Source organism: Homo sapiens, chromosome 11 (assembly GCF_000001405.40).
Source record: "Homo sapiens chromosome 11, GRCh38.p14 Primary Assembly".
Lineage (NCBI taxonomy): Eukaryota > Metazoa > Chordata > Mammalia > Primates > Hominidae > Homo > Homo sapiens.
In genome coordinates this window covers 119,295,388-119,308,515 of record NC_000011.10, presented here as the reverse complement: position 1 = coordinate 119,308,515, position 13,128 = coordinate 119,295,388, and the positions used below count along the sequence as shown (strand labels likewise).

The 13,128-nt window shown below is 43.2% G+C and overlaps 1 protein-coding gene across 1 annotated transcript in view, besides 1 other annotated feature; it reads right to left on the bottom strand.

The window, feature by feature from the left end:
* The window catches only part of CBL (Cbl proto-oncogene), a 101,811-nt gene continuing 89,049 nt past the window's right edge, over positions 367 to 13,128 (bottom strand). Inside the window, exons 13-16 of the mRNA NM_005188.4 lie at positions 11,482 to 11,598; positions 11,035 to 11,132; positions 9,976 to 10,158; positions 367 to 9,021 (exon numbers count right to left, since the gene is read on the bottom strand). Of these exons, the coding sequence (NP_005179.2) occupies positions 8,735 to 9,021; positions 9,976 to 10,158; positions 11,035 to 11,132; positions 11,482 to 11,598 (685 nt within the window). The 3' untranslated portion in view covers positions 367 to 8,734. The remainder of the gene's footprint in view (positions 9,022 to 9,975; positions 10,159 to 11,034; positions 11,133 to 11,481; positions 11,599 to 13,128) is intronic.
* Positions 1,283 to 2,028: an enhancer, noted in NCBI's record as "H3K27ac-H3K4me1 hESC enhancer chr11:119177198-119177943 (GRCh37/hg19 assembly coordinates)". NCBI's record gives its function as "activates a minimal SCP1, AML or CMV promoter by ChIP-STARR-seq in naive H9 embryonic stem cells {active_cell/tissue: H9 hESC(naive)}" and the evidence as "EXISTENCE:reporter gene assay evidence [ECO:0000049][PMID:30033119]".

Sequence of the window (13,128 nt, the reverse complement as noted above, 5' to 3'; positions counted from 1 at the left end):
TTTATTCATCATGGGTACCACAGGAACCTGGGGGCCTGTGAAACTACAACCAAAAGGCACACAAAACCGTTTCCAGTTGGCAGCAGAGATCAGGGGTTACCTCTGCTTCTGAGCAAATGGCTCAAGTTCTACCAGAGCAGACAGTCACCCTACTTTTCAGCAGCAAAACTGCCCTGATGACGCAGCACGAAGGGCCTGGCAGGCTGTTAGCAGGAGCTATGTCCCCTTCCTATGCTTTCCTGCCACTTGGAACTGCCCTCCAGACAGCAGCTCAGGCTCACCGCCATGAGGAAGGGGGCCTTGGCATTTGGTCCTACGGCAACTCGAGTATTGCCTCCCAACCCCCTGAATGAGCAAGAACTCAAGTCTGCTACAACAAAAGAAACTTTATTTAAAAATATTTTTTTACAGACATGGGTGCTTGAAAAAGCTCTTTAGTTAACTAACTGTGTATGGAAATGAAAAAAAATTAATAAATAACATTAGTAAAACAGACTTCTAAACATTAATACACTGGCAAAATAAAATGGACTTAAAATGAAAATGAATCTTAAAGCTCTGCTATTCTCTGTAAGAATATTTACCTTCTGTTTTTCTTATTCTTTACAGGTGAGAATGATTAAATACTGCTAATATAAATTTTTTATATTAATGACACATTTTTAAAATAGTCCACGAAAATCTCACCTATGTGTTTGTTTTGTTTTCTTCTTAACACTGATATACAAATTGGGACTCTTCATTCTGGAGAAAGCATCAGGTTCTCTCCAGCACTCCCAGGCTAAGAATTTCAAAATCTTGAATAAGGAGGACTTTAAAATTTCTGTCTCCCAATTCTTTATTAGTTAAAGGCAGGGGAAAACTGAGGAAAGGGTAAAAGATAAGTAAGATGTCATTATATAGAAAAACTTTTGCTAAAGCTCACTATAGTCACATTACTGAGGACAGGCTTCTGGTCCCATGTTCCTTGCTGCCCTTCCCTGGGGAAACCAGGCCCTGCAGAGGGCACTAGCTGCTTAATGCTTTAAGTCTGAAGCCTTCAAATGAAAGGCCAGCCACATCTGATGGGGGCTGGGGGGTGGGGGCAGGAGGTCTAGACCAGTTCAGGATCCAGCAAAAAGAAAAGACAAAGCCACCAACCTCCCCTTCTCAGGAGAGTCCATCCTATACTCCTCGACACAACTAGGTAATTAATGTCATCAGAAGGCTAGGACACTTGGAATGGTCCAGAGTTTACCTGGGAATTGTGAAACATTCTGTCTTTTGCAGGAGACAAGGCATGCAACCTGATAACTAAGCTTGTGATTGGAACCAACCAAATGATCCCAGGGTACAATGCTTCTCTCCTCCACTGAAGTCTCACAGCAGGGGAAAGGGACTCCAGACACACTGCACCTGCATGTCACCTCTCCAGTCACAGAGAGCATTCTTTCCTGTCTCCTAGACACTAAGGACTAATGAAACTCAAGGTAGAGGAGCTCAGACTCTGGTATTTCCATATTAAGTCCTAAAATGCAGCCTGGGATACAGTGCTGCCTTAGAAAGGCACAAAACATTTGGCTTTTTTTTTTTTTCAGTGTGCTAAAAATTGTTTTGTTTTGAGTAAAGGAAAAAGATATATAAGGTTAAAAATCCCAAGTCACCACAGCCAGAAAACAGACGTAGGAGGTGCCTCATAGCTGCCATGCCCCTACCACATGTGTCAGCAGGAAGTCAGGCTTTTCTTTCAAGGCCAAGACACTAGAACAGTGCTGAGCAGGGTAGGTCAGGAGGCATTTACTCTCATGGGCATTGCGTTGCAGGCTCACTCACCCAGACAGCAGGAGAAACAGGCCATGGAAGACAACACGTGGTCTACAGACTCATAAGTAGTTCTCTGCCTCTCCAGTTTTAAGATGGCCATAAGCATGGCCACCCTCACCCACAAGAAGGTCAGAGGTAGGTAGAGAGGAGGGAGCTGACACACAGGCACCCAGGACACCCTGCTTCAGGGCTCAGCATGGAGGTGGCACAAGGCCTGAGGAGTTGCACATAGCACGCATTGAGCAATACTCCTCTCTGGCCTCCTGTCTGATTTAGGGGCAGAAGGAGAATGTAGGAGAGGCAATGTTGGTGGGGAGGGGGCGGGGCCTGACATTCATTTTTGGGACTGAATCAGGCAATCAGGACTCTGCTGATTTCTTCAGCTGCCAAATCAGGAGATCTGAGGTTGGCTTTTGGGCTTTGCTCTGTACAAACACAGGGAGTGGTCGGCTGCATTTTTCTCAAGCTCTGTACCCAGGAAGGGGCGGCAAGAGCACCACACAGCTTAGTCTGTCTGTCAACAGCCGGCCCTTCCACCCGTGCTCCCCACCTGACTCGCCATGGACATGCGGGGCTTGCTCTCCCCATCCCTATTTCCCCATCTCCTACTCTTTTGCTACTTTCCAGAACCAAGAAATACTGGTATTTCCCACTGGAACCAACCCAGATTTCCTGGGACACAGTGAAGGCACATGGCACTGCTGTCCCTCTGCTGCTTAACTCAGGAGCCTAGTCTACAACATCAAAGGCAAAGTCTGATGACCCACCCTTCCTCCCTTGATGGACATCTTTGGATTATTAGGTAACTTCTGTGTGTATCAAATGACTCTAGTAGTTTAAAAAACTTTTAAGTAAGGCAGTATGAAATACCTTACAACTCAGGACAGGCTCTGAGATGAGAGAAATATAAGATCAAAAGATTTAGGCAAGCAAAAGCATAGTTTTAAAAAAAAACAGAAAAGGAAAGCTTTTATATAGGACTAAAATGAAAGCAATTGCCAGAGAAGACACAGGTATACTGTCTAAAGAGCTCTCGGTAAAAACTCTATCCTAAACTGGAATCTATATTTAATTTCTATCCTGGCAACTGCTCCAATATTATATATTCTTACTGGCTCTGGCAAAGTAGTTTCTGAGGTGCCTAGGAAGGCTTGCCTGAGAACATTACTGCAGAGCGGCCCTCACACAGGAAGGAGCGAGAGGGTGAGGAGGAGAGTGGAGGAGACAGGCCACAAGCCCAGAGAATGAACATTTTCAAGCACTCAAACCTGAAGAGGACCCAGAAGTCCATGGATAGTGGCTACAGTGGAACCCGTTATTAGATTCTGCTCTCTAAATAAACACGGAAGAAGGCAAAAGACCTGAGGCTGAATGGAGGCTAAGGAAGGCTACCCAGGAACAGGCTAGCTCTGGAACAGGACAGGCTGGCCCACAAGAGGGAGGGAAGAAATCTTGGATGCGAAGACTGACAAAGGGAAGAAAAACAGGAAATAAAGAAGACAATGACCAGAATTAAGTTAAACCTAAGAATTTCTATGATGTCCCAGACAAACTCCTGTGCCTTCCTGTCCACTAAGCAAAAAGGCAGGAGTAGTGGCTTTACTTCTTGAGTAGAAGCCTTTTTAGGGTGTCTGTGGAGTCTCTGCTCACTTCTCTGAGAAGCTCCCTGTCTCCAGCTGAAGGAGCCTGCCACATCTCTGCTCTCCCTGGCAAGGCCAACTGCTCAGAGATAGATACTTGATCAATGTGCTGGGCTGAGTGTAGTTTTTTTTAAGAATACGAAGTATGGGCCGGGCGCGGTGGCTCACGCCTGTAATCTTAGCACTTTGGGAGGCCGAGGTGGGTGGATCATGAGGGTCAGGAGTTCAAGACCAGCCTAGCCAAGACGGTGAAACCCTGTCTCTACTAAAAATATGAACATTAGCTGGGCATGGTGGCAGGCGCCTGTAATCCCAGCTACTCGGGAGGTTGAGGCAGAGAACTGCTTGAACCTGGGAGGCAGAGGTTGTGGTGAGTTGAGACTGCACCACTGCACTCCAGCCTGGGCGACACAGCGAGACTCCATCTCAAAAAAAAAAAAAATTAAGTATGGGAAATTGAGAATTTGTTCATGGTGATCCCCAGAGTTGGAAGGTGGTGTAGACTTGAGGACTAGAGTGCCTATTTGGGGGCCACATATACCATAAGCAGACTGTGAAGCGGGAGAAAGGACTAGGTGCAAAGCTCTGCAGTTCCAGCTCCACCCAAGAACCAAAGGCACTTCCCGTCCTGGGTTCTGCGAAATACCCTGCATCCTTACCACAACTCCACTCCCTCCTTTATTCCGCTTGAACATTTCTGTTTCTTGGATCCAAAGAATCCCTAAGCAGTCAAAAATATAACCTTGACCGTCCTTCACTATCCACCACCCTCTAGGCATTAAGCCGTTCTATGTATTTCCAACAAAACACTGCTCATGGAGACTGAGTTCAAAGGAGTGATAGTAATAGTTTATGCTGAGTTACAGTATTTTAGATTGAGCTTCTAAAGCTCTAAGGTCTGGTAGAATGATGTGTGGACACTAAGCTTTAGAATCCCTAAACTCCTTGCTCTGGGAGGGAGGTAAAGGCTGACAATTAGGGGACTGATGGAGTTCAATCTGTATTAATGTCTGGCTCTTGGAAGACCCAACAACTGACTAAAGGATCTTTGGGTCCTGAGACCCGAAGACAGGGCCCACACCTCCAGCCCTTCTAAAACATAGTTAGCCACAACGGTTGTTGAAAGACTGGAAAACCAATTCCAAATAGTACAGGACATGGTGACAGGTCCCATAAGGGTGATACGAAAATCCTCCCAACAAGGGGGATTAGGGACGTAGCAGCTCAGGAAAAAGTTCAAGGAAGGCACTAGATTGGAAAGGGGAGTGTGGGCAGATGCTTTGCTTAAACATTTAATGCCCTACTGTGCAACTCTGAGCCAACTTACCTTTCAACTCACCAAACAGATTCTAATTATGTTGGAACAAATTCCAACATAAAAACAGTCGGTATCCATGACACTTACACCAAGGAATCTCCCAGGCATTATCAAAGCTACAGGAGACAACAGGGGATAATGGGAGAATCTTGGCCTGTTATTAACCAGGATAGCTCTATGAGGAAAGGTAAGTCTACATGGAAGAGCTGTGAATAAAAATTGCACAATCTTACTGGGAAGAGCTATTTTAAGGTCAAACGCAGAGGCTATGACAGTCCAAGTACAATCCCCCAAACATTAGTAAACTACTATGTGGCGCCAAGGGAAGGACACATACCTGACATTTCTGGCACATGGTCATCACTCATAAACATTTGCTGGATGAACAAACAAACTGTTAGAGCCAGACCAATAGTCAGAAAACTATTTTTCAATGAACAGTGGTCATTCCAGAGTCAGAAAGGCCAACGGCAAGAAGAGGGACTTATAGTTTGAGAAGGTCTATAATCTTCTGACTTTAATGACGTGAGGTAGGAGAATATTCTGCTTTATCACCATTGCTGAACACCTACAAAAAGAACTAGATCTTAAAGGGAATATATAGATGGTCCCTAGTTTTTACAAGGAAATTTTGTTATAAAAATTTGTGAGTTGACTGTTTGGGACCATAAACACATTTTACTTTTCTATAGAGAAAACACATATTTTAAGAGTGATGAACAGTGACCCCCACCTCCCTTAACCAGAAATCTTTTAAATCTACAAAATAGTTAAATAATACTAACAGTAGTATCCCACATCTTGGGCCCCAGTAATGAGGGTCTGTATAAGAAGAGAAAGAGAGGAGAAGAATGGTAGATTATGCAGAATGGGGCTGGGGGGAGACGAGCAAGTGGAAGAGAACGGCCACCCACAGGTAGAGAGCACTATTCACAAAAATATTAACAGGTAAATGCTGAGATGAGAAGCTGCCTGGTCTATTACTTAACTAAAGGGAGGTATATGAAGAGCCCACAGGTTTTTCCATTTTAAGAACCCTCTACTTTAGTGGAAGGAACATGGCGACAGCTGGAAAGGTCCAGTTGCTGCTCTGCAGCAACCCCGCAACAAGGCAGCTTGGAAAGCAATCCGTGAAGACCCAGGGAAAGCATGAGACTGGCTGAATACAACAGCCCAATGAATATGAGAAAAAGAGAACAAAGTAGTGTGGGTTTTTTTACTTTATTAGCCACTAGGAAGGGACAAGCGGAAGGGCTTGCCCAAAATGGCAAAACTCGAAGTCTGTTCATAAAAGGCAGTTTTAATTAAATTCAGAGCAAAGCCAAAGACTTTTAAATTGCCATACAAATGGAGGGTGAAGAATGGGTTACTGGTGCCTTAGTCAACAGAAAATATAAGAAATTAAGGTTTTGAGAATAACCTCAAAACAAAAGCCACATGAAAACTTTCCTTAATCTTGCCTGGCAATCTCAGGCACAGACCCAGGTGTGTCCTCACAGCACCCAGTCAAAGGAAAGATCCTCATGAAATGATCCAAAACCTTGAATGCTGGCAGATACCTGTGACAAACTGACACCCAAGCCCATGGATGGCACACACACACAACACAGGGAGCTGGAGCCTCAGTTTCACGCTGATTCAAAGAGCCACACAGGACTCAAAAAAGGAAAAGTCGAGACTGCCCTTAACCTACACAGTAGGGAGATAATCTCCAGAGAAGATTTAGATGCATGGAAAAGGCAAAAGATATATAGCCAATGCTTTGTCTTCCAAAGAGATCTTTAGACTACAGGCAATATCTGCAGATAAAGAAAAATTACAATATGGATGGGCCTGGAAACTGCTTTTTTTTTTCTAGTTCTTTGTCTAGGCCTTCAATATTTAAACAAAATGCAAAACTGAACGTTACCTCAAAATGAAACAGTGTGTGTACTGGCTGTTAGAAGTTGATGGCGGTCTACTGTTTGATATTCACTGCCATCTTCCTCTGCCCCACTCTACCTCAACTCGGGACCGCCTCACCTAATGGTGGGCTTTGCCGCTTTATGCCATGTAGAGAAGACACTGGGTAACCACAGCAAATCAACACGAGATCCTGTACTGCCTACTCTGGGAATATAAATGGCTCTGAGGCCAGGGGATAAAACCAAAAGATCTAGGAGTAGCTGAATGCCAAGAGACGAGTTAGAACAAGTTTTAGTTCCAAAGATGATTAGACTGGAAAGAAAACTGATCCAAGGAGGGTCATTTCTGTGTAGATCTAAAGACAAAAGCATGATTTAGATTTTCAGGAAGACAGATTTATCAAAGAGCAGGCTTGCTTCTGACATGGAGAAAGCTTACACACTGCTAAGAAAGTGAGCTAAACACTCTGGACAGAATACTAACTGAACTCGAGGGATCATTTATCAGCATATAAAAGAACTGACTAATAGTTCTCCCAACTGGACCCTCAATTCTCTTTATGAACTTGCAATTACACAAACTGCCAGCCCATACTGTCTTTGACTACAGTAATTTATTCACTGAATGATGTCTAATTACCGTGAAGAACACAGTAATTACAGAGAGTATTTAGGACCTCAGGTGAAGAGGAAAAGGGAAGGAAAGGAGGAAAGAGATGTTACATTCCCAAAGCCACAGGCACAAGAAAAGAACCACATCATCGGGAGGCAGCAATGCAGGGAAGGTGCCATCAGCAAGAGGCTGGGCCACCGTGGACATTATCCCCACTCCTTAAAGGGCAAAGGAAAAAACCACTGCTGAAAATATAACCTAATATTCCTCATGTTCAAATGAAGACACCCATATAAGCTGAAATTAATTCACTGGGAAGAAAAACTGAACAGATAAATCCTTACTGTCTATTTTGTGCATTTAAATAGCATGTGAACGAAGCTTCCTAAAAGCTTTCCGGTATTCTGGCCAGAAAGTCATCCTGGAAACAAATGTTCTTCCCTTCCCATTAAGTAGAAAGACTCATGACCTACATCAGAACACATACCTGGCACCAAGGCAACTGACTCCCACAGACTATTTTCTGGGGAGGGCATGGAATGTATTTAAAGGCCTCTATCTCAAATCGGTCATTATGTAATTAGGATAATCAAAACATCTTAATAGCTTCAATGTTCCTATAGAAACAGTGCTTTGGAGTGACCAGTGTTAGCTGCTAGTATCAAACATGCCTATAATAGTGTAGCAACAGTACTTTTCCTCCCACTTATCTACCAAACAAACCAATACCATCACACACAATAAAGAACATCCCATAAGCTGCTTGGCCTCAGTAAGGCTGGCCATAGCAAGCCCATGGCCCATGACAGAACACCAAGAAGGATGAGGAAGGAGTTGATGGGGAAAGAACAGACAGAAGGTGTTCTAAAAATAGAAGACTTTAGCTATGCACATGGTAATATAAGCCAAAGGGGAGTGTTGAAGTTGTAATACACACTAGGCTTGGGTATAATACCACAGTAGATGGAAGTCTTTAAAAAAAGATTCCTTCCTAAACCTTTTGTGCTAATTCCCTGCCTGGAATTAACACACACAGCAGGTTAATCTTATAATCACAAGGACACATACAACCACAGGCAGACACACACACACACGGCCACATCCTTAACCCAGGAAGTCTTAAGTCCTCAATTAGGATTTCCAGCAAAATACTTGTTCTATAGCTTTCTGGACTGTTCCCCAGGTAGGTTATCATGTAATATAATCCACACTCTCTCTACGTGGGAACTGAAGGACACCTTCAAATGCACTCAAGACCCATAAAATAATAAAACATACTAGCTGCTCCATTTTCATTTCACCACTTTGAAATCTTGGAACCACTGATGTGATATCCCACAGAGAGGGCAAGACTTCACTGTGAAGTCACCAAAGGAACTCCTGCCCTTCTAGGTGCCACTTGAGTAATAACTCCCAACTCACTGGTCCTCTAAACCTGCAGCAGGGAGATGGTGTGCTAGGTAGCTACATGGGCAGGAGAAGAAATGGAAACAAATTCCCGGAGGATGTTTTTGGCCATCTCGATGTTGTTCTGGGCAATGACCAAAGCTTTCTGGATGTCCTGGTAGGAGTACCCCTGACTCATGAGGTTCTCGATCTCACTGGAGAGCTGAGGTGAGGCGGTGGCAGCAGAGGCGGCAGGACCACTACCTTGCTGACAGCTGCCAGCTTTCCGTTCAGAGTTGATTCTCCGCGGGAATGGTTTTGGAGGCCTCTCGGGAACTTGGGAACCTTCAGTGACATCTAGAAGAAATAGGAAAGAAAATATTTGCAAATCTGGGGAAATCCTCATTTAACAACAGCAATAAAAATGTGCTAATATCAAGATATTACTGACTTCCTGTAAACTGGGTACATGTGCTCTTCAGTCACAAGGCTGGGTTTTACAGGTTCAAGGGTTTTAAGATATAGCCTCCTCATCACAATAAAAACAACCTTCTAAATATACCATGCACCTGTCCTATGAACAATAACCACTGCAATCATAAACATCTGCATCATGCTTTACACTAAGCAACATGTTTGTGCACATGTAATTGTCTGTTTTAATTCTGAGGGGACCAAAGATACTAAACTTCGCCTTCTACAAATAAGGAAAAAGACAGATATAAGTTGCAATGAAGAAGCATTAGCCAAGGCTGAGTGGGGGACATTGCTCGTCTGGGCAAGCGAAGGCTGTATTCTTTTTCACCAGCTGTCTGTCCTGAAGGCTGTCTTCAATTCCAAAGTGACAGCAACTCTGGCTGCTGCCCTACCAGGCAGCCACAGGTGCAAGAAGAGCAGCCTCCAGTAGTCAAGGCCCAACATGGGCTGGCTCCAGGCCCATTCAGTGTGTGTTCCAGAGCTAGCATGCCTTCTTTCCAATGGAACAGAGCCCAGGAAAAAGGAATGTGTGCTCTGAGCCATCAAGCCTAATTACCAGTGTCATAAGGCATACTCAGAGAAACTATAAATCCTACCTACCCCTAACATAAGAAGAGCCAGAGTTTAAGGAATGACCTCTTTTCTAAGTCTGCAAAAATCCTAAAGAGTCTGACTACAGTCTAACTTCCTAACTTGGGACTTTCCTCCCATTTAGACATAATGTTTAGCCTACATACTGACTTACTGTCACCAGAGAAGGTCATCTCCCTTTCAATATAAACATACAGGCCACACTGCCATTCAGGACAAACCCAAAGTAGTCTGGAGACTCACTTGTTGTAGGATCACCATCCAGAGACAACCAGCCAAAGGAGGAGCTGGCATTAGAGATATCTGAGAGAGTTCGGCGGGCCAGCACGGCCGGCACAGGTGGCTTTGGGACATCATACCCATCATCCTCATTTTCTGACTCCTCGGGACCAGTGTTGGCATGGGCTGCGGCCAAATTCCCTTCACCTGGAGAAAAATGAGTGATGTTATCTTCTTCTGACGCACTTCATCTTCTAATACATTTCAATACGGGGCAGCCATTCATTTTTACATGTATGCAATCATTTATCTCATTCAACAGTTACTGATTGTCTACTGTGGGCCAAACACCATGTAAACAGAGATAAAAATAGAAAATAAAATCTGCACCAACACTGCAGCTTTCATTTTTGAACATGCCAAAGGTTATTCTTGACAAGGTTAATAGCCACCGATGCCAATGACTCCAGTGTCATCTCAGATCATTCAATAAACATTTCTATCCACATTCCACCTTGGAAGATCAGCAAAGGATCCTGTGAGAGCAGGCTTCTTGAACTTTCAATCTGGTAGGCTAGTTAACATGGGAATTGAGTGTTCACCACCCCCACATAAAAGAATTTCATCAATGCAATGAGAAAAAAAAGGAGCTTACAGGTCCAGAGTATAGAACACAAATGTCTCTAGGCCCTGGAAGGACAAAGAAAAGCACAAAAGGAACCAGCAGTGTGAGTAGGAAATAAAGGATTGGGGATACTTTACTGCCCATGTCAAAGATATTTTGCCAAAGATTACTGAAAATAATTTTCAGCTTTGTCTGGGCGTGGTGGCTCACGCCTGTAATCTCAGCACTTTGGGAGGGGTGGATCACCTGAGGTCAGGAGTTCAAGGCCAGCCTGGCCAACATAGTGAAACCCCGTCTCTACTAAAAATACAAAAATTAGCCGGGCATGGTGGCACGTACCTGTAGTCCCAGCTACAGAAGAATTTTGAGCTTAGATCAAGCTATCTCAATTGCCAAATATTACATGTTCATTCCTATGACATATCAATGATTTTTAAAGTAGCAGAATGGCAACTTACCAAAGGTGCTGCTCTCGGTGATAGATGGCGCCTGGGACTGAATATTATACATTGCTTCATACGTACAGCTATCAATCTGCTGGTCGCAATCACATGCTCTGAACCAGAAGGAAAGTGCCATAATGATCTTTGGAAATAGAACTGTTATCTATAAACTTATGAAGATTCATCTTCTCGTTTTGCCAATATCACTAATAAATGTTAAAGTTGACTCTTGTGGCAAGTTATAGGTGTATGTGTTTTTGAGGTTCTCATGTTGCTGAGAAAACATAAGTGTAATTACCTACAGCTACAAAAGGCTTAAACCATTAAGGGCTAGATTTATCTTTATCTTTCTGCTTTAATCTGACTGGATAACAGTATGTGCAGGTAGCAAGCCAAGCAGGTGAAGGGTGTCAATTACCCACATAAAGGTATAGGGCCCAAAAAGGGTTGTTGTGAACCTACCGTGAACTCTGGGATGTATCCAAAGGCCGTAGAGGCCTGGAAGAGGGAGTCATGTACTCTGTGTCCTCTTCACCCTCACATTGCTCCCCAGGTGGCAGTTTTGGCACAGGAAGAGGTCTGGAAGATGAAGAATAAAAAATAGAAAAAGAAGTAACAAACCAGTAAACTTTGAAGTATAAAATAAATGGCTTAAAAACAGACATAACTCAAATTGAACAGAGCAAAATACATGTCACCTAGGGAACTATTATTTCTGCTGACCAAGACAAGTAATTAGCAAAAGTACACTAACTAAAAATGTCACTTTCAACTGACCAAAGGTGCAGCTTTTATGCTTCAGAGGTGATATACTGGGCTAATCACCTGAGATACTGGTTAGTCCTAATCCCCCACAGAAGTTTCATTATAGAGTCCCAGGCCCTAGAGTTAGAGAAACGGCAAGATTTTTTCTGACAATGTTAGAACTGTAAACTAAATTCCAATTCTAAACTCTACCTATGGTTTCAAGGAATGCATAGCTTGTCAAAAGCTTTCTCAAACTCCTTGTTTTATATAAGAAAAATTTAAAATAGAGAGAGATAAAGCGACCGCAGTTAGCGTAAATTCTGAGGCTAGATCCCAGATCTACTGACTCCCACATCAAGGATCTGGCTGTTATATCCACATGTAACTTTCACCCAGAAACTTTGGAAACAAGACTTCTGCCACCGCATGAAATGAAATGAAAAAACTCCCAAGAAATACAAAAACACCCCACTAAATTGTAGGGGGGAAAAAAAGACACACAAAAACCTACTTCTTGGAGTGTGAATTTGTGTTTCTCCTCCCTTCCTATTATTTTTGCATATCCTAAAGATGCTACAAGGAGCATCTCTTTCGTTTGTCTGCTTGATGCTTAGTTTTCCTAATTATAAAAGCAACACATTTATAATACACACATAAGTGCTATAGAAACTTAACACAGAACATAGAAGTCCCCTTTAATCTCACTTGAGGTTTTTTCTTATATCTACATATTACTTTTATTAGGTTGGTGCAAAAGTAATTGTGTTTTTTGCCGTTAATGGGAAATATCCACTTAAGATTTGTGCAATGCATGCTGAAGTTCTGAGGCAGAAGTGTATTGGTATCTACAATTTACTTTGAAAACATCAAAAGACAGACATATAGTCTGATAAAACAAGTATAATAAAATGCTAAAAGTAGAATCCAGGTGATCAGTATATGGGTGTTCACTGTAAAATTCTTTCACCTTTACTATCTTTGTAACTTTTCACAATAAAATGAGATGGCGGGAGGACAGTCCATATTCAGAAAGAAACACCTAGATTTTTCGCTGGAGCACAGTGGCATGATGACAACCCACTGCAGCCTTGATCTCCCGGGCTCAAGTGATCCTCCCAACTCAGCCTCCTCAGTAGGTGGGACTAGACATGTGCCACAATACCAGGCTAATTAAAAAAAATTTTTTTTTTTGTAGAGACAGAGTCTCACTATGTTGCCCAGGCTGGTCTTAAACTCTTGGGTTCAAGTGATCCTCCCGCCCCAGCCTCCCAAAATGCTAGGATTACAGGCCTGAGTCACCCCACCCATCCCTAGTTTGTTCTTAATGTGGTATTTGGCCACACGGTGTCAGTGAAGGTGTAG